The sequence below is a fragment of the Homo sapiens genome, chromosome 18 (assembly GCF_000001405.40).
Source record: "Homo sapiens chromosome 18, GRCh38.p14 Primary Assembly".
NCBI lineage: Eukaryota > Metazoa > Chordata > Mammalia > Primates > Hominidae > Homo > Homo sapiens.
Window position 1 is genome coordinate 44,673,548 of NC_000018.10, and position 18,734 is coordinate 44,692,281.

General features: G+C 45.4%; 1 protein-coding gene and 1 long non-coding RNA gene across 15 annotated transcripts in view, besides 6 other annotated features; one reads left to right on the plus strand and one right to left on the minus strand.

Moving 5' to 3' along the window:
* Positions 3,384-6,325, minus strand: SETBP1-DT (SETBP1 divergent transcript). The gene is made up of 2 exons (NR_187430.2): positions 6,069-6,325; positions 3,384-5,342 (listed from the first exon to the last, which is right to left on the minus strand). It is a non-coding gene; the product is annotated as an SETBP1 divergent transcript (long non-coding RNA).
* Positions 5,466-6,105: a silencer, noted in NCBI's record as "silent region_9411". NCBI's record gives its function as "represses an Ori minimal core promoter by ATAC-STARR-seq in GM12878 lymphoblastoid cells {active_cell/tissue: GM12878}" and the evidence as "EXISTENCE:reporter gene assay evidence [ECO:0000049][PMID:35858748]".
* The window catches only part of SETBP1 (SET binding protein 1), a 388,438-nt gene continuing 376,229 nt past the window's right edge, over positions 6,526-18,734 (plus strand). For 7 of the 14 annotated variants that reach the window (XM_047437479.1, XM_047437480.1, XM_047437481.1 and 4 more), the window contains exon 1: positions 7,341-7,474. The gene's annotated coding sequence lies outside the window, so the exon portion shown is untranslated. Of the gene's footprint in view, positions 6,849-7,340; positions 7,475-7,496; positions 7,815-18,734 lie in introns of those variants that run through there. The other 7 variants (XM_024451149.2, XM_024451156.2, NM_001379141.1 and 4 more) reach the window with 2 other exon arrangements.
* Positions 6,776-7,025: a silencer, noted in NCBI's record as "silent region_9412". NCBI's record gives its function as "represses an Ori minimal core promoter by ATAC-STARR-seq in GM12878 lymphoblastoid cells {active_cell/tissue: GM12878}" and the evidence as "EXISTENCE:reporter gene assay evidence [ECO:0000049][PMID:35858748]".
* Positions 7,166-7,215: a silencer, noted in NCBI's record as "silent region_9413". NCBI's record gives its function as "represses an Ori minimal core promoter by ATAC-STARR-seq in GM12878 lymphoblastoid cells {active_cell/tissue: GM12878}" and the evidence as "EXISTENCE:reporter gene assay evidence [ECO:0000049][PMID:35858748]".
* Positions 9,087-9,156: an enhancer, noted in NCBI's record as "active region_13250". NCBI's record gives its function as "activates an Ori minimal core promoter by ATAC-STARR-seq in GM12878 lymphoblastoid cells {active_cell/tissue: GM12878}" and the evidence as "EXISTENCE:reporter gene assay evidence [ECO:0000049][PMID:35858748]".
* Positions 9,267-9,336: an enhancer, noted in NCBI's record as "active region_13251". NCBI's record gives its function as "activates an Ori minimal core promoter by ATAC-STARR-seq in GM12878 lymphoblastoid cells {active_cell/tissue: GM12878}" and the evidence as "EXISTENCE:reporter gene assay evidence [ECO:0000049][PMID:35858748]".
* Positions 9,387-9,476: an enhancer, noted in NCBI's record as "active region_13252". NCBI's record gives its function as "activates an Ori minimal core promoter by ATAC-STARR-seq in GM12878 lymphoblastoid cells {active_cell/tissue: GM12878}" and the evidence as "EXISTENCE:reporter gene assay evidence [ECO:0000049][PMID:35858748]".

Below are 18,734 nucleotides of genomic sequence, written 5' to 3' on the forward strand. Positions count from 1 at the left end.
CCTTGTTGCCTTTCAAGTAGTGAAAGCCAGTCTCTTGGAGGATGCTTACAAGGATAAGTGTGCCAAGAAAGCTTCCTTTAGTGAATTTCTTGCAGCCAGGAAAGCAAAGTTTCCAAAACTAAAATCTAGTCATTGTTGGACCTGGGATTCCCTTCCTGGGACAATTACATTGTGCTCCTCCTTAGCGCCTTGTTGCTTAGCAACCACAGTAGTATCAGGGGAAGGAACTGGAGAGATGAGTCTTTTCCAAAGTGGGGCTGGAGTGGAAGGAATCAGGAATGGAAATTACCTTCTCATTTCCTAGAGAGAAAAAGATATGCTATGGACCCCAGAGGTGGCAAAATTAGGCTGCATCAGGAAGGAGTCATGTCCACACGATATTTTAATAATCAAAACTAGTATTTGAACAGAATTATTTAACTTTGTAATGTAACCGTACATCTGATCTTTCCTGTGAGCCTCATAATCATTAATATCTTAGGGCAAGACTGTAAGTTCTCAGCTTATAGAGAACTGAGGTAGAGAGGTCTGAAATTGGCTCAGCTTCACCCAGACAGTTAATGGCAGAGCAGGACTACATTCCAACACTCATTTTCTTTCTCTCCACAATATCCTTGATTGATTCATTCATGCATTCATGAAGCAAGACTAACGTTCATCTCATATGCATAGATAGGCATGATGATCTTAAAATACTGGAATTTTAAAATAATTACTGCTCTAAACTCACCCCCATGCCTCTCATTCTGACATTCTGTCTCCTGAACTCCACAGGATCATATAACCGAAAGGAAATCACTTGGCTGAGCAGAGCCATGGGTCTGCGTCCACTCTATGGATTGATTCCATATCAGGTTGGTTGTCAAATATTTTTGACATTCCACCAGTACTTACTGGGCATATACTGGGCTCCAGGTACAATCTTATCCAGGGAAGATACAGAAGTATAATGCAAAGTCCTTGATCTCAAGGACTTTTAAAAATTTTCCCCTCAATCTGCAGTTGGGAGGAAATAAAAAAATAAAGACCCCAAATTTTTTCTAGAATACTTCTCAAGACAGGGAGCTCAATATTATTTAAGTAATGATTTGTTCTCAATGTAGGTTCAATAACAGTATTTTTCATTATATTGAGCTAAGGTCTGCCTCCTCATAACCTCAGCTGACCAGGGCTTGTTATCACCCACCCCTCCACCCTCGAGCAGAGTCAAGCAATCTCTTTTCTATTTTCCCTGATGCTTTTCTTATATTTAAGAAAAGTTTTCACATCCAATCTGACTGTTCCCAATATGCTCTCACTGTTCTTCTGGGACTCTCTTGTGACCTAGAATCAAAAATTGAGAAAATTTTAGGGCTGGTTTGGTCCTTAGAGACTTTCAAATACTCCTGTTTTTTTCAGAAGTGGAATCAGTGGGGCAGAGAGATGAGGAGACTTGTCAAATAAGTTTATAACTAAGTCTCCTTTATGATCTGGTCTATGGTCTTTTTTATTGCAGCGTAGAACATACTCTGAATTTCTACATTTCCAGAATGGCCCCTAAACTCCAAATGTGACTTATTCACTGTATAGTTCCTTGTGGCTATCACCTCCCTTGTTTAGGGACACCTATGCATGCTATATTAGCTAAGAGAGTAGGAGCTTTGTAAATATCCTGATCACACTGTGGGAGCATGTGCTTTCAATTGGATCAGTGATTCTCAATGCTTGTTACATATCAGAAGCACCTAGGGTTTTATTAAAAGTACTGATGCTCAATGCTGGTTACATATCAGAAGCATCTAGGTTTTTATTAAAAGTACTGATGCTGGGTCTATGCAAGTCCAGTTCAATAAAGATGGATCCCAAGCATCAGTAATTCCTCCAGGTAATTTTGATTCATAATCAGTATTGAGAATCACTACATTAGATATTACTAACCCATTTCCCAGAAAGGCGAGAATCAACACCGTAGAAGGTGACTGGCTCTGAGCATTTGATTACACTGCTTGATCTCAACTTCTTATAAAGGAAAAAAGGATGGGTTTGTCTCATTTCTTTTTACCTTTAGCTTCAGAGATATGAAAATGACATGAGCTGGGCCAGGCATGGTGGCTCATGCCTGCAATCTCACCACTTTGGGAGGCCGAGGCTGGTGAATCACGAGGTGAAGAGATCGAGATCATCTTGGCCATCATGATGAAACCCCATCTCTACTAAAAATACAAAAATTGGCAGAGCATGGTGACACACACCTGTAGTCCCAGCTACTCAGGAGGCTGAGGCAGAAGAATCGCTTGAACCCAGGAGGCAGAGGTTGCAGCGAGCTGAGATCGCGCCATTGCACTCCAGCCTGGTGACAGAGCGAGACTCCATCTCAAGAAAAAAAAAAAAAAGAAAAAAAAAAGAAAAAAAGAAAAAAAGAAAAAGAAAAAGAAAATGACATGAGCTGCTCTTGTGCTTTGAGGCAAACATTGAGTTGTATATATCCCTCTGTTCCTCAAATCCTGCTGCAAATGATCATTCTGCAGATCCTTGGAGTACATCTGGCATAGGGCCTTGGACAAAAAGGAGTTATCATTATGGTCATTTTACAGGTTAGGCACATGGATGCCCAGAACACAGAGCTATATCCCAGTTGGCAGCAATTCAGATATTTGGTGATATCAGAGGAACAATTATTCTCAACTACATTTATTGACATTGTCCATGCAAGGCACAGCCTAGTCCTGATAAGTTTTATATTTGGTTGGAAAACAGGTAATGGAAAAAAATACATGTGTGTGCAAAGGGGAAAATGAAAAGTGTATGTTAAATACACATAGAAAATAAATGTGCAGCAATTTTAAAAAGACATGATTTCAGACCCCACTCTCCTCCCACCACTTCAGCATCTGTACTCCACACACTTTGTAAGCCTCTTCTTCCTGATATTTTTGTGCATTCGTTGTAGTTAGAGCTTCGCATGTCAGTCTTTCCCACTAGGTCATGAATTCTGTGAGGATGGGGACTATGTCTTGGTCACATTTGTATCTCCAGTTGCTACTAATGTATCTGGCACATCACCATGCTCCATAAATATTTGCTGAGTGCCCGCATGATTCTGATACTGGAGACTGTGTGAGACTAAAAGATGTATGTCCTGTGCATTCTCATCAAGTGCTCGGATGGCCTTTTGATTTCTTCAAGGGCTCCTGGGCCCTGGAAATGGGTATCTTAAAATTGCCTGACTCTATTTTCAGGCTAGATCAAGTTCAGACTTTCTGTGTGTCAAGGTTTGTTTCTCAGACGATCACAAAGTGGTCTAATTGAGAAAGAAAATGAGAAGAATTCCTGTGACATTCACCTAGGATTTGAATATAGGTCCCATTCTATTAACAGATGTACAGTTTAGGGATGGGGGTTTAGTTTTTAGAAATCCTTTATTATCATATATTAAAATTTTTATATTTGTAATATATTATTATATACCAAAAATATTAATGTGTATAAAATATTTATTGTATCTATTTTACATATGTATATATATTTATATGTGTGTGTGTATATATATATATATATATATATATCTCCAATCATGCGTCAATTAGCTTATGGGGAGGTGTTCTGAGAAATACATCAGTAGGCGACTTTGTGCAAACATCATGGAGTGCACTTACACAAATCTAGATGATATAGGCTACTGCACACTCAGGCTATATGGGGTAGCCTATTGCTTCTAGGCTGCAAACCTGTACAGAATATTACTGTACTAAATACTGTGGGCAAATGTAACACAATGGTAAGTATTTGTGTATCTAAACACAGAAAATGTACAGCAAAAATACAGTATTATATTATATGGGATCACAGTAATATATGTGGTCTGTTGTTCACTGAAACATTATTATGGGTGTGTGTACACACACACACACACACACACACACAGAGGCATATATATTTTTTCATATATATGTAAGAGAGTGAGAATATCCCTCCTTTCCTTTCTCTCCTCTCCCCTCTCATGATTCAGAGATGGGCTACATACAAGGAAGGAACGTTGGATAAGAAGTCAAGGAACATAGCATCTATTCCTGGCTTTGAATTAACTTAGTGGCTTGGGGTAGTGCATCGTTTCCTCAGTTTTAAAAAGATGGGATTCTAATAGATGATCTCACAGGTAAACTTCTACTGCACTATAATTCTACAGACTTATCATCTATTGCAGTGAATTTTAATAAGGTATGTGCTTTTCTTAGCTACTTTTCTAATCCACACAACACCACAGGAAGGAAGACTCTGTAAATACGCCTAGGTTATAGAAGGGAAACGACTAGGGCAATAGGCTTTAGTTCTGGTTTGGATGACATCAGACAGCCATATGCTTGTGGACAAACCCTTCTGATTTCTGGGGCTACTTTCTCCACTGGAAAAGCGCGGGGAATAGGCCACATGCTATCTTAGTTCTCTGTGGACTTTGGTGTAGGATTTCAGAAATCTGGGTGTACAAGCAAATGAGAAAGGTCATTTGATTACAGAGAATAGTTGTTTTGATATTGTATTCTGTGCCTTGATCTCTACTTCTATCATCAGCTCATATGCTCTGCTATTTTTTTTCCTAACTAAGCATTATTTTCTCAGCAATAACAATGACGCGGTAAAAAAGCATAGTAGAAGACCTATCGAAAATTGCTCCACGGGAGGTCCTGCAGTGACAGAAGAAAAGTTTGTAGCCAGTCAGAACATTCCTCTGAAAAAAAGAGGACAGAGCACTTGGATCAGTAAAAGGGTGAACTATCCGTTCTGAGTCAGACTGAATCTGCATCCAGACAGGAATCGGGATGGGATTGGGGCTGGAAGGGGTTCACCCTTCAATCCCCAGTCTCTTTCACTCCACTTCACTGCAGCGTTCCTATGAAAAACTTGACGAAGAAGTTCTGTGAAGGAACTCAAACCAGCAGCCAATGCAGGGAGGCAGCCACTGATGGCCTCAGTGAGGGAATGCCCCCGACGTACCTCCAAATCATTCCTCAGTCCAAATAGCCTAAAACTCTCATGAAGAACGTGATAGGAGTCCTCTCAGAATCCGAGTCCTCGGTCAACTTTACCCCAAGTTCTTTGAGCGGAACCATTTGCAGACCTTCCCGAATCCGTATCTATCCTATATTGTTTTACAATGTAGACATGTCTCTGAAGGGTTCCATTCGTGTTTCCCTGAAAAGACCCCCTTTGTAGGCCAAATACAAAAACTCAGAGATTACAAATGCCACCATATTTTGTAAGAACTGAAGACATTCCACTTTGTTCTTCCCACCCTGAAAACAACTGCATGCCAGTCTGCGTTTGTCATCTCTCCGTGTCCTTCCCTTCATCAAGTGTCCAATTCTCTTGAATAACGAGAAAATGCACATGAGATCTGAATGCATACAAGTCGCTTAACAACAACAATAAAATAATAATAATAATTTAAAAAAACCCTGAAAGTGAAATATAATTACCAGGTTAAAAAAAAAATGCGCCCAGTTTCGAGAGCCTATCACAGCTCACGTCTGGGCGCGCAGTACCCCCCCGACACTGCTCCTGTTGTGTCAGATAGTGGCAGTGTTGAGCCCAGGAATACGCGCGGAGCCCGCGGCGATCCCCGCGGCCGCTCAGTCTTCGCGGCGGACTCCGGCGCGCAGGAGCCACTGGGCCGCAAGGGCGCCGGGGAGCGGGAGGGGCGCTGGGGGCGGCAAGGGGTCCCAGATCCCAGGCCACGAACTGTTTTCCTTTTCCCCGGGCAAGAGCCCCGCTCCCTTCAACTGACAGAAATTCACTGGGGCAGGGGGGCGAGTGGGGAGAGAGGTCGCTCAGGGCTCGCTACTGGCTGCGCCTCCCCCGGCTCTGGTCTGGGAAGCGGCTCTGGGCCCTCCGGGCGAGCAGCTTGGGCGCCGGCGCCCCCTGCGAGGAAGATCGCGGGGTGACGGTCGGTACCCGTTCGGCTGGGCCGCGCTGCCGCTCCGATCCACCTCCCTTCCGCGCCCGCGCCCTCCCCCTTCCTTTCACTAGGAGTCCGGGATTCGGAGAGGGCGCGGGAGGCAGGCACACGGGCCCGACCCCACTCCAGCGCTCACCGGGGACGCGGGCGGGCGGCGACGGGACGCGGCGGGGGCGCGGGGCGGGCGCGGCCATGGAGCAGCAGCGGCGGCGGCGGCGGCGGCGGCGGCAACACTAGCGACCGCGGGCGGACGAGCGGGCGGGCAGGGCCGCCGGGCTCAGCGGACCGAACTGCACAGCTCAGCAAAAGCGCCCTCGCCCTCCGCGCGCCGCCTCCTGCGAGCCCAAACCCACCAACATTTTTTAACGCTCCAACCCATCCTTTGAAGAAAAGCAAAAAAAAAAAAAAAAAAAAAAAAAAAAGCAAAAAAAGAAAAAGCATTGATCGGAGAGACGGGGATATATATATATATATATATATATATATATATATAAAATTTTTTTTGGCTCCTGCTAAAATTAGCAGGGCTCGCCGCGCGCCTGTGTGCCAGTGTGTGCGAGTGTGTGTGCGTGCGGGCGTGTGTGTGTGAATGTGATTACTCCAGGACTCCTCGGGCTCCGGAGACGCCATTTTCCCCCTTGATATCTCTCTCCATAAATCGGTGGCGCGGCGGAGGCGGCAGAGTCGGGCGGGAAGCGCGGGGCCGGCCGGGGCGCCCGCCGCTCGCCGCCGCCTCCGCGCGCCCGGGGGCCCCGGCGCCCCCCGAGCTAGGGCGGCCAGCTCGCGGCTCGCCGTTTGACAGATGCTCATCGCCATGGAGTTGCCGCAGCAGCACCTTTGGGGGCTCGGGCGAGCGACGGGAGCCGGGATCTGAGCGAGCGCCGGGGCCAGCGGAGCCGGAGCCGCCGGGACATGGGTGAGCACGCGCGGCGACCTTGGCCCGGGAGCCCGGGCGCCCAGCCTCCCTCCGCGCCGCGGGCCCCCGCACTCCCGGAACCGGGGGCGACGTGTGTGCCCTGCATGCAAAAGTTCACGTCGCCTTGCTGGGTCTTTGACTTTGCACCCGGCGGGAAGGGGGAGACCGGGCCGAGGGGGCGGGATGCCGGTCCGGGCGAGGTTGCAGGAGATGGGCGCGATTCCGGCGGGCCGGCGGGTGGGCGGCGATGCTGGCTCAATTGGAGTGGCTCGTTGGTGGCGGCGATGGTGGAAGCTTTGGGCTGGAGGGCTGGGAGCTTATTGAGTTTCGCCTAATCTGATCTACCCCCCCTCCGCCCCCCGCCTTTTGCACCCTCCCTCGGTCCTGCAGCCGGCTGGCGGGGCTGGCGGGTTTGGCGTTGGTGGAGTGGACTCGGGAGGGGGAGGGGGTAAGGAAAGGGGTGGGAAGGCAGGATTTTTTTTTTCTCTCTTTGTAACTTGCAGGTTAAGTGGAGCTAGAGAGCTACATTGTAACCTAGTTGGATTTTTTTGGGGGGGGAATGTATCAGAATCTAACGTGTCGTTAATAGAAAGAAGAACAGGCAAGAAGTGGTCCAGCCGGCGAAGGTTGGTGTGTGCTTGTGTTGTGCCTGTGTGTTAGTCTTTTTCTTAAAAATCTTAATCAATGGATTTGAGTCTCTTTCTTGTGCTCTCTGGTTTTGGGACTCTGAAAAGATAGGAATTCCCTTAAAAGCAGACGAATGCCTTTTTGAAAGCACGCATTGTGTGCGTTTCTAGAGGAGCCGTGGGCTTGGGAATGAACGGCAGGCTTCCCCGTTCGGTGGTTTCCAGTGGGAAATCACTCCGGAAAGGGAACCCTTCGGTATCGATTTATTGTTTTTGTCTTCCAAACCATTATCTCTTTGACCGAAATACTGTCTGAGAAGTTCCGCAGGGACAAAGTCAGGTAAACTGGACCGGGCAGATCTTTGGCAAGATGGTGATAACGGGGATGCTGTTTTCAGTGTCTGTTTGTGATGGAAGCATTGTTGGGTAATAGCAATTTCTGATCGGTAGAGCATGCTGGTTCTAAAAAAATAAGTTAACTGCCGAAATACTGTCTTCCAGCCCCCCTCCCCTGCACAGTACAGCACCTATTCCCCCCGCCCCCCCATCCAGACCGCTTACTACAAGTCTGAAATCGGATCCAACTGGAAATATTTTCATTGGAGATTGAAAGTTGTGCAATTGGAAATAGATGAGGCTAGAGGTATTGAGAGTGTGGAAGGGGAGTTCTTATTGCCCCCTAATGCTGCATTTATTCTTTATGTGTGTCTGTGTTGGATTCTCAGGGTGTGTATCTGTCTAAAAGGACTGTTGTGGGAAGGATTTCCGATTCGTTTCCGTTTCAAATAAACTGTCCTGATAATCTCACGGTTGACATCTAACGCTAAAAGGGCAATTTGTGTGTCTCTTTATCCCTGCAGAAACTCTCCTCCAAAAGGGCAGTTTATTCTGGAATTCTACAGCAGATACCTTTCCCTTCCAGCCCCTACACTCCCCCCACCTCCTGCCAACTATCCACACCTTTCCCCTTAAAGTTTAGTTGGAGTCCACTGGCGTTGATTGTTTTTCTCTTACATCTTTTTCCTTCTTTTTCTTTTCATTCCTTCACTCTTCATCCTGTTTTTCTTCTTTTTCTGTAGATTTATACTAAAAACTAATTTCTTGAAGTCTCTGTACTGTCACCAAAACTATCTGCCGATTTGGCACCATCTCTTACCCTCCTTTAGTAAATAGGTATATCTCCTGTGCCCCATCCAAACTCATCTTCACGTGCAAAGCATGTGTGTGTCGTGGGAGAAAGGGGATGGGGTAGAGAAGAGGTATTTGGAGAGGAAGGGCGGTGTTGTGTGCAGGCCACATCTTCAACACTGGACCAGACCTGGGCATTCCGGGGAGAGTTTCCTTTGCACACCCCAGCTGGGATGGGAAGGCGGAGCCAACCAGACAGGGGCGTGTGAGGGAGGAGAAAGTTTGTAGCACTTTAAGATGTAGCTAGTTTACCATCCCAGGTCACTCCCTCCCTTTTTTTCTGATTTCTCTGGCTTCTACCATCCTTAAACTCCCTGAGGGAGGCGTGAGCTCTTTTGCTCTGACGAGGGATTCCCAGGTGTCAGAGTGAAGGTGAGGTGCTGTGTTTTCCCCTGTGCTTAGTCTCATTGCCTGTTCCCAGAAAAGGGTATTAAGACAGAGTGTTTGGGGGAAAGTCGGAAGAGGAGGAAGAAATCAAGTGTGGTTAAACAGAGTATTTGCAAACGGCAGGGAATGTAGCCCCCAAAGATATGGAGACCAGGTACCCAGAGTGTTGCTTGGCACACGATTTCTCCTCCCCCGTTAAGGGGACAAAACCAAAACCAAAACAAACTATTGGTCTTGGGAAGTTGAGTTGGTGTTAGACCTGGGCTGTGGGAGTTGCTAGCCACTATAGTAACCTGAGCTGAGCTGGGGGAGGAGGTGGTGAGCGAATGCACCACCGGGAGCCAGAGGAGGGAAAGGGACTCGTCTCTCTTAGCTGGGAAAATAGATGTATCTCTGGAATAAACAAACTGGAGGTGGGGGAGGGGATGGCTTGCAGTGAACATAAGGTGGAGTGTCTGAGAGGCAGTAGTGTCGGTTAAGAAGGGGGCCACTTCTAGCTTGGGAGAAAATATCAACTGCCTTATATGTTCATGAAAGGGCTAGGCAAGTGAAGGGCTGTAATTTGATCTTTTGTATGTTAGCATCAGAATGTTACATAGGAAGGCTCTGCTGGAAGGCCCAGTTTTGGACATCACACAGGGGAACCTAGAGGTATCTTTAAGTTAACCCAACAGCCCCTGCTGCCATAAGGGCTTCTGGTCATGGACTTGCCTTGCTCAGAGTGAGCTACTTTGTAAATCACCTGACCTAAATGAGGGTTGGGGAAAAAGGAAACAGTGCTTGGGAGTGTTTTAGGATTTAGTTGAAAATGGTGAGTGGGGAGAGGCAGGAGGCAGGATTTTGCTGAAGAAGAAATAAATAGGTAGGTACTTTCCCCTGGATTCCATTTCTCCTGTTAACTTTGAATTCCTCTAGGGGATGAATCGATACTTGTCTGGCACAAAAGTGTACCTCTAGGAGAGGAGAGTTCTCTCAATGTGGTCATTATTTTTAGTTGTACTTCAATCTCTGCTCCAAAGCTTCTATATAGTATGCAAAAGGAAGCAGATGAGAAATAGCTAGCTGGATGGGGCATCCTTTCTGGGTTCCTGTGGAGACACTGAAACTTGGCTGGGCCTGGACCTCCCAGAATGCCAGTTTTTTCCTTGGAGACTTGAAGTTTAAATTGAAACCAGAAAGCTATTGAAGGCAGATCCAGCCAATGAAACCCTGTTTTCTCTGATGCTCAGGAATGGGAAATAAATAACTTTTTGCTGATGGCATTTCAAGTTGCTTCAGTTTTGCTCCTGCCAGAAGAATGGGGCAAATTATTATGAACACATTAGTATTGTAAGGAGGAGTTGCAGTGCTTTAAAAATGGGATGGTGTTATTGAGTTTGTTCAGGGACTCAGTGTATGTGAGAGTCCTACCAGAGGCTGGTGGTGGGAGCACAGGAGGCTGCCCTGGAGGGTTAGCAGCACTGGGTTGAAGAAAGGAAGCCTCACAGAGGTCTTGCTGCACATCATTTTGTCTGGTCCTGGGGTTCCTGTGAAGGGAGCAAAACAATCCAATTCCATTCCTATCCTGTGGCATATGTTGAAACCTAGTGAGTTTCCCAAAATGTTTTGGGCCATAAGTTTGGGCTTCTTTTAGAGTGGTTTTTAAAGGCAACCCAGGTGTTTTACAAACTCTTCATGAAGTTGCACATACTTTGGCCTGCCATATACCTGAAAAGTGCAGGAAAGAAAACACCAGGATGTCCACAGACTATAATTCGTGAATGCAGAAAGATGATGCCAATCTACATTTTTGCTTAGCTCTGAGTTTTCGTTTTCCCTTTTTACCGAACTTTCTATTAGATTTTGATGCCCCCCTGAGATACATCACACTGGGGCTGGAGAAGGTTTTGGAGGACTGTAATTGTAGATCACTGAGTTGAAGCTTCTGGTCCTTACTGTTCTGATTTAGAAGTTTCGTAGGTTCAGTCCAGAACAGCTGTTTTTAGAAGGTTTTTTTTTTTTTTTTGCCCATTAGAGGGTACCATCTAAGGTTGAAGAACCATTAAATAATTAATTAATTAATTTTTTGTGACAGAGTCTCGCTCTTGTTGCCCAGGCTGGAGTGCAGTGGCGTGATCTTGGCTCACTGCAACCTCTGCCTCCTGGGTTCAAGTGATTCTCCTGCCTCAGCCTCCCAAATAGCTGGGATTACAGGCACCCACCACCATGCCTGGCTAATTTTTGTATTTTTAGTAGAGACGGGGTTTCACCATGTTGGCCAGGCTGCTCTTGAACTCCGGACATCAGGTGATCCACCTGTCTCAGCCTCCCAAAGTGGTGGGATTACAGGTGTGGGCCACCGCGCCCGACCGAGGAACCATTATTTTTTAATGGCCGTTAGCTTAGAAACCAGCAGTTGACTTCCTACCCTGTTCATAGCAAATGATACCAGGTAAAGAATGTGAGCAGCCCTGAAGTCCATAGGATCCTCTGGGAGGTAGCTGCCACCCCCTCCCAGGAGCCCATGATGGTTAATGATCAGCAGACCCAGGTAGAACAAGTGTAGGCAAAGCCAGCTGAGCTGACCCTCAGGTAGGCAGAGGCTGTGCCACTCCAAGTGCTGAGGAGGAATAGGGGATGAATGGTGAGCAGATAAGAGTTTTAGAACTTTGTTAGCTTGGAAAAATGTTTCCTTGGTCCAACTTATCTTTTCCCACCAAAAATACCCCCTTTCATATGCATGGCATTTTGTTCTTTTCAAAAATATCTTTATATGGCTTCCGCCCCCTTGATTCTCCTAAGGAGGAAGGCCAGATAAGCATTTTATCTCCGTTTAGAGGATGAGGCAACTGATACACTGGGTTGCCTGAAATGACACAAGTTGGTGGCCAACCTGGGGCCAGACGGCTGTGGCAAAGTGTGAAGAGCCTCACATCTGAAGTGACAAGATCCTCTTTGGATCGTGTCCCTGTACTTCCCAGTTAAATGACCCCTGGCAAGTCAGTTAACCTCTCTGAGCCTCCGGAACCTAATCAGTAAAATAAAGATAAAGATGCTTACCCTGCCTACTTCACGGGGGTTATGAGGATTAAATAATACCAGCTAATTTCTGTAATTGAACTCTGGGAGGATTTCCATGCTGCCTCCTGGAAACTGGTGCCTGGGATTATTGTTGCCATAGCCCAGCAATTAATAACCCCTTGGAATGATCAGAAATGCCCACAAGGGCTCCTCGTGTTCTAATAATTCAACCGATGTCCATATAACTGTATATATTGAATTATTAGATGCCTACTATGCCATGTGCTTTTTGAGGCTCAAAGTCTCAGGTGGTATCCAGTTGGACTCAAAGATGTCCCAGTGCTCAGGAAATGCTCTTTGAGTTAAGGATCAGCAAGAAAAAAGGAAAAAGATGTGCAAACACACAGGGAGGGGAGGCGAAGTGGAGAGAATGAGGGGGAGGTTCTCCATCAAGAAACCACAATACTTAAGCAATGGCATTCAGGACAGAATTTCTAGCCCCTCTAAAGAAAAGAACTAATAGCAGCGTTGCCGCTGTCCCAGCAAATCCAGTAAGTTCTCCAGAATCAGGAAAGTTCTTCACAGCTCATTTGTTCCCTGACTCTTCTGTGTCCCTCCTTTTACCCTTTCTCATGAGAGCTGGTTTGCCCTGCCTGGCAGCCTGCAGCAGGCACCTTGCAGTGTTCTCGAGTGAACCCCAATTTTATGCAATATGCCCCAGGCTGTGTTGTCAGACTGGTTTCTTCACTGACTCTGGACATTCTGAACATCTTCCTGCCTCCACACCTCAGCTGTCTCTGTGTTGTCACCTCCAGGTGGCCAGCTAGTTGCACCCAGCCTCCTCTGTGGGAGCTAACTAGTTCCTTCTTCCCAGCTCTCAGCTCCTCATCCCCAGTTCCCAGAGCAAGGCACCCCACTTATGCTGCCTTGCTGTTTGTTATCACTTACCCCCTCCAAGCTCTGAGCCCTTGAAAAAGGGGAGAAGTTTTCCCACACAGCCCTGAACCTTATTTATGAATGATTTTTTGTTTCCTGAATGAATCACAGCATTTATGAAGAGATAGAATATTGAAAGTCAATGTTGTTTAAGGTGTATTAACACTCTGCATTATGAAGCAACACAGTGAGGGCCCCTTAGACAGTGTGAATAATAACTACTTTAAGCCAATAATAATTGCTTTTTATATTTTTGGCTACCTTTCGGGGGTAATCACCCAAAAGTTTCTCCCTTAAAGTTTAAGAGTTAAGCATATTTTACCACATGTGCATCCTTTCAGTCACCGATTCACTCATTCAATCATCAAATATTTGTTAATAATAATAGTGCCTACTGGAGTCTCATTGTGACTCTAACACACATAGCCCTTGACTTTCTCTGAAAATTCCAATTGTATTTTTTGTCCATCTTGCTCATTTTGGCACTTAACCATACAGTCATCTTTGTTGCTGAAGTCCAAGTGCTTTTCCGCTCTTCAGTGATGGAGTGAGCCTGGCCACAGTGGAAAACAGAGAAGGCTGAGGAGGCCGGGTGCAACTAGTTGGCCTAAGAGGTCAAGAAGGCTGAGGCAGAAAGCAGCCTGGGCTCACATCTATTAGCATATGATGTGGGACAAGCTACATTGCCTTTCTACTGTTGTACAGTAAAAAAGTTTGGAGTGGTATAGAGTGTCCCTTCTAAAATTCTGTGATTCTATAGCTAGAGGTGTCCTAGGAATGTTAAGGATTTCTTAAAGGTCAGAGCTCCTCAAACCCCTTTAATGGCGCCGCCAACAACTGTCCAAACCAATCCCACTGAGGATTAATGCCCTTTGCTAAATGTTTGATGGGTTGAAAGAGTTACAGAAAGGGAAGGTGGTGCCCTGGGGTAAATAGAATTGGGGGGAGCACTTATTAGAACAGTGGAGTCAGTCTTGGAGGACAGGGAAGGGGAGAGGAGGCAATGGTGAGCTGAATGTGAGGACATACCACTAAGAGTAATGTGGAAGGAAGAAAGGGATTAAATTACCCACATCTGTTTTGAATTGGTTCTCTTTGGTAAAATAACTGACTTGAATCAAGGGAGATGGAACAGACAAAGACAGTTTCTAGGAAGTCCAGAATGTATTCTGTAGTTGAGCTTTGCTGCTGCTTCCTGTCAGGTGGCATCTGGAAACCCTGCTATGGATACTTCACTCATGTCATGGATCTAGTGGGCTGGATGTCATTTCTCCATGTAGATTCTAAAGATCATGAAGTCTAGGGCCATGCCTGGGTTCCTGAGGTGTCCTCTCCATCCCCATAGCACCTGGTCTGCCCAGCCACATTGCAGCCTGTGTTCAATAATAGCTAATGGGTTGGTTTGTGTGCATTCTGAGATCAGATACGGTGACCCACAGTCTGCAAAACCAGAGCCTTTGATTTGGGTTGGAGTAGGATCAAGGAAATTGGGCTTTGGCCTAAGGTGCTGTAAAAGTTCTGTGGGATTGATGAAGCACCTGGGAGCATACTGGTTGGATATTTAGGAAGAGGAAGCCTCTTTAAGCCACTGAAATGCTGCAATTGCTTTTAACCCAGGATCTAGTAAAGGATTTGGGATGAAAAAGGAGCATGCAATATTGTTAGCCAAATTTAGTAAACAGCAATTTCTTCATTATTCCTTTTATCTGCCAATGATTTTCAGTTCTGTCAGTGGAAAGGAGCTTCTTGGAGTTTGAATTTGTGGCTTGGAGAAAGGTTGAGATGGGGAAGCTGAATTTGATGGAACCAACTTAGTAGCCCATCAGAAGCAGTGGGAGCACCAATGTGCTTGTAGCAGACTAATGAAATCTGCGTGGCAAGTCCTGTACAGTTGTTGGTGTCTCTTTCTGTGACCTATTGTTATTTGAGCAATGAGACCTTTGATTTTTTTTTTTTTTTTGAGATGAAGTCTTGTACTGTCACGATCTCTGCTCACTGCAACCTCCACCTCCTGGGTTCAAGCAATTCTCCTGCCTCAGCCTCCCAAGTAGTTGGGATTATAGTCACCCGCCACCATGCCCAGCTAATTTTTTATATTTGTTGTAGAGACGGGGTTTCACCATGTTGGCCTGGCTGCGTCTCGAACTCCTGACCTCATGATCCGCCTGCCTCGGCCTCCCAAAGTGCTGGGATTACAGGCATGAGCCACCGCGCCTGGCCAAGACCTTGGTTTTTAAAAAAGTATTGATTAATAGTAGTGACTAAAAGGGATGATTTGATGTGAAATCTCTGTGAACCTTTCTACTCGTTATACTTTAGAGCTCTATTACGACTGGTGTTTTGATCCACAAATATTTATTAAAATATCAGCATTGCAGATTGTGTGAGCCATTGTGCCTGGTACACTTGCTTGGGAAAGGCCTGCTCTGAGATGTGGCTTTTGCCCTGGGAGAGTGGGCAGTGTATCTACAGATACGTGCTTTGCTGAAATGGAAAGCATTCTTCTGCAGCCAAAGTTGGAACATGATCCCAAATGGAATTTTGCTATTTGTGTGATCAGGCCTAGGGTATAGTCAGGGAAGATTTCAAAGAGTATGTGTTTAGGATTTGATGGAAGATGTAGAACAAAGGGACATTCTTGGCGGGTAGAACAGCTTTGGCATAGGGGCAGCAGTGGGACAGAGTTCAAATGCGAATTGAGAATTGCCTCAAGGAAACAAATGCTTATTTCGAACATGTACTGCATCTGGCAGAAGCAGCATGGCCCTGAAGATGAAGGTCAGAAGGCTGACATTGAGGGGCAGACACCCCCATAGCAGACACCTTTGTGGTCCGAGGTCTTCTGTCCACAGTGAGAAGGATAAAACCCAGGGCCCTCTATGTCAGACTCAATGTGCCTGTTATAATTCAAACTAATCAACCTTCCAACTCTCTGAATTAGCAAAAATTGGTTTGTTCATTGACATTATTATTGATTGTGACCAGACTCTGATGGGTGCCATGGGGATCCCAAGAGATGGAGTGAAAGATGCTCTAAGAGCCCATGAAAACCAGGGGAGGAGTAGCAGCAGCCAGCCATTTAGGTCTAAGTGCTGAATTGTAGTGGGAGCCCGAGGGGTTTAGTGTCTCCAAGGGTTAGTCAGATCAGAGAAAGCTTTGAGGAGTAGGTGGAACTTGAGCTGAGTCCTTGACAATGGAATAGTCTTGGGTAGGTATGGAGCAGCAGGGAAGATCATCCATTTGGGAATGTAGAGGGAGAAAGGAGAACAGTTCAGCATAGGGCTCTGTGGAGTGTAAGGCAGCAAGACAGATGGGATGGTGTCCTGTAGGAAACAGGCCAAGGATTCATCTCCCCTAAGCTGAAATGGGGAGGCATGCCCACAGCTTTCCAAGTGCAGGGAGAGCAGTCTTGGGGAGCAGGTGGGTGTGCCTGTCAGAGACTTCCACACATAGCACACATGAAAGAACGCTGACAGCTGACTCTGCCTCCTGCTGCTAGGTCCTGTCCGCTACCAGCTCTTCAGCATGGGGTTCAAAAGAGGTATCTTTAGAACAAGAAATGAAATTGTATATAAGCATTTGGAATGGGGATGGGCCGCTCTGGGGAACATAAAACTCTTGTGATACTGGTACTTATTTCCAAGTGTTTAATGTATAATTGGAGAAGGAAATAAACAAGATTCAGTAACAAGACAATGTTTAATGACAGTACAAGGTAGCTAGAGGAGATATATCACAGAGAAAGGGAAGTGGAGCTGATATTTGTTTAGTTCTCTGGTATGCTTAGCATCTCCTTTGCAGCAGAAGCACAAACATATACGTGCCAGATTACACTTTATGTTCAAATGACAATGAACAAAGCAATGGCTTAATCAGACGGTTGAGAAGTCAAGGAATTTGAATTAAAACTGAACAGGTAGTGAGGTGAAAGAGAACTTTGAAAGACTTTATTATTATCTGTTAGATGGTTCAGTTTATCCTCATTGCCTCCAAGTATGTCTACCAATTCCTTCCTCAATTTATAAATGGTGTGGTGGAGGACCAGAGTTTTCAGGGACCACTAATACAGAATATTTGAAGACTGGTGGCTCTATGGTTCAAATAACATTTGGAGTCAGACACAACTGCCCCTGTGATTTCAACAAATCCCTCAACTTTAATTTTCTTATCTGTAAAATGGATGTGTCTCTGGGTTAAAATCAGTTAGTAAATCAGGGTTAAATAGTATAATAAACTTAAATCAGATGAAAAACGTAAATAAACTTAGAGAATACCTGATGTATGTTAACAATTCAGATTATTTTCTTTACGATGTGAATTCCTCCTCCCTGCTTGGACAGGAAATATTATGGTCACAATTACTTCTTTCAAATCTACTGTATTTAACCTATTTTGGTATTGTGCTACACATATTATTTACCTTTTTTTCCTGCAAGATTCTGTGAGGAGAATTAGAAAAGGCAGATGAGAAAACTGATGCCCAAGAGAGTTTAAGTGACGTGGCAATTCAGATGGCACACTGGTTTTAGAACTCATGTATGTAGAAGCAACTAACAACTTTTGGTCAAAAGTTGGCATCACTTTGTGTTTTAGATACCTCATGATGTCAAACTAAGAGGCTTTGTAATCATATATACCTCGATTTGATTGTGAATCTGGCACAGAAAGTGTGTGCTCTTGAGTAAATCATTAACCTTTCTGGACCTTAATTTCCAGGTCTGTAAAATGAGGACAAGATCTTCTGCATCACAGTGCTGTTGTGTGAATTAAATTGATAATGACTGTAAAGAGCTCAGCACAAGTTAGTGGTAATGTTTAACCACCCCCCGCCCCCCAACCCTTTCACTACAAGAGAACACTTTTCCTTGACTGCACAGAGGAACACAGGCACAAGTAACGCATCAAAGCCACAGCTCAACCTGCAAACTTGATTGGCCCAGGCAGGATTGTAGAGATTTTTCACCAGGGAGCAAAGACACAAGGGTCATGCTGTTGTGTTGTGTTATTGGTTCCCAGAGGAGACACTGTTTTTTACAGCTACAGCTGGAACTGTTGGTTAATGGATAGTATGTCAGACCTCAGGTCTCAGAAGTTTCATCTCCTTTCCTTATCATAGAGATCCCTGAGTACAGAGACTAACGGCATATGCTTAGTTTTGTCTTAGGCTCAGCCAGCCCAGCCAGGCTGAGCTGCAGAGTCAGCAGAATCTGATAAAAAGGTGGAAGGTACCAGCCCTGGCTTTGAAGGGCTTCTGGTTGAGGAGACAAGGCTCAGTACCTGGGAATGTCAGAGCTGGAAGGGGCCACAGGGTTGAACTCATGTTCTCTGGTCCCAATTCTACATATAATGATGGGAAGACTCAGGGAGAAAAAGGAACTTGCCCAAGGCCACCAGCTCTAAATGGTGGAGGAGGGATTAGAATGTGGAATTCCTGACTGTACCCAGTATTATTTCCTCCATGAGACAAACTGGAAACAAGAGAAGAGCAATAATCAAACAACAGCTAAATGGTCAGGTTAGCAGATGCAAAGGAAACAAGTTGTCTGTGCTTCTCACTGTGTAGCAAGATGGAGGAGGTTGGTCTTCAACTCCTGTCCCTCAGGGCTTGACTTGGAGTCTTAGAAGAGAGGGTGGCACTTAGTCAAATGCTAGCTTGGTGATCAACTATGGGAGTAAATCAAATGTAACAAAAAAGTTTGCACACTTACTAAGGTGATCCCAGTATGTTCTTTCATAATTATTATCTCAT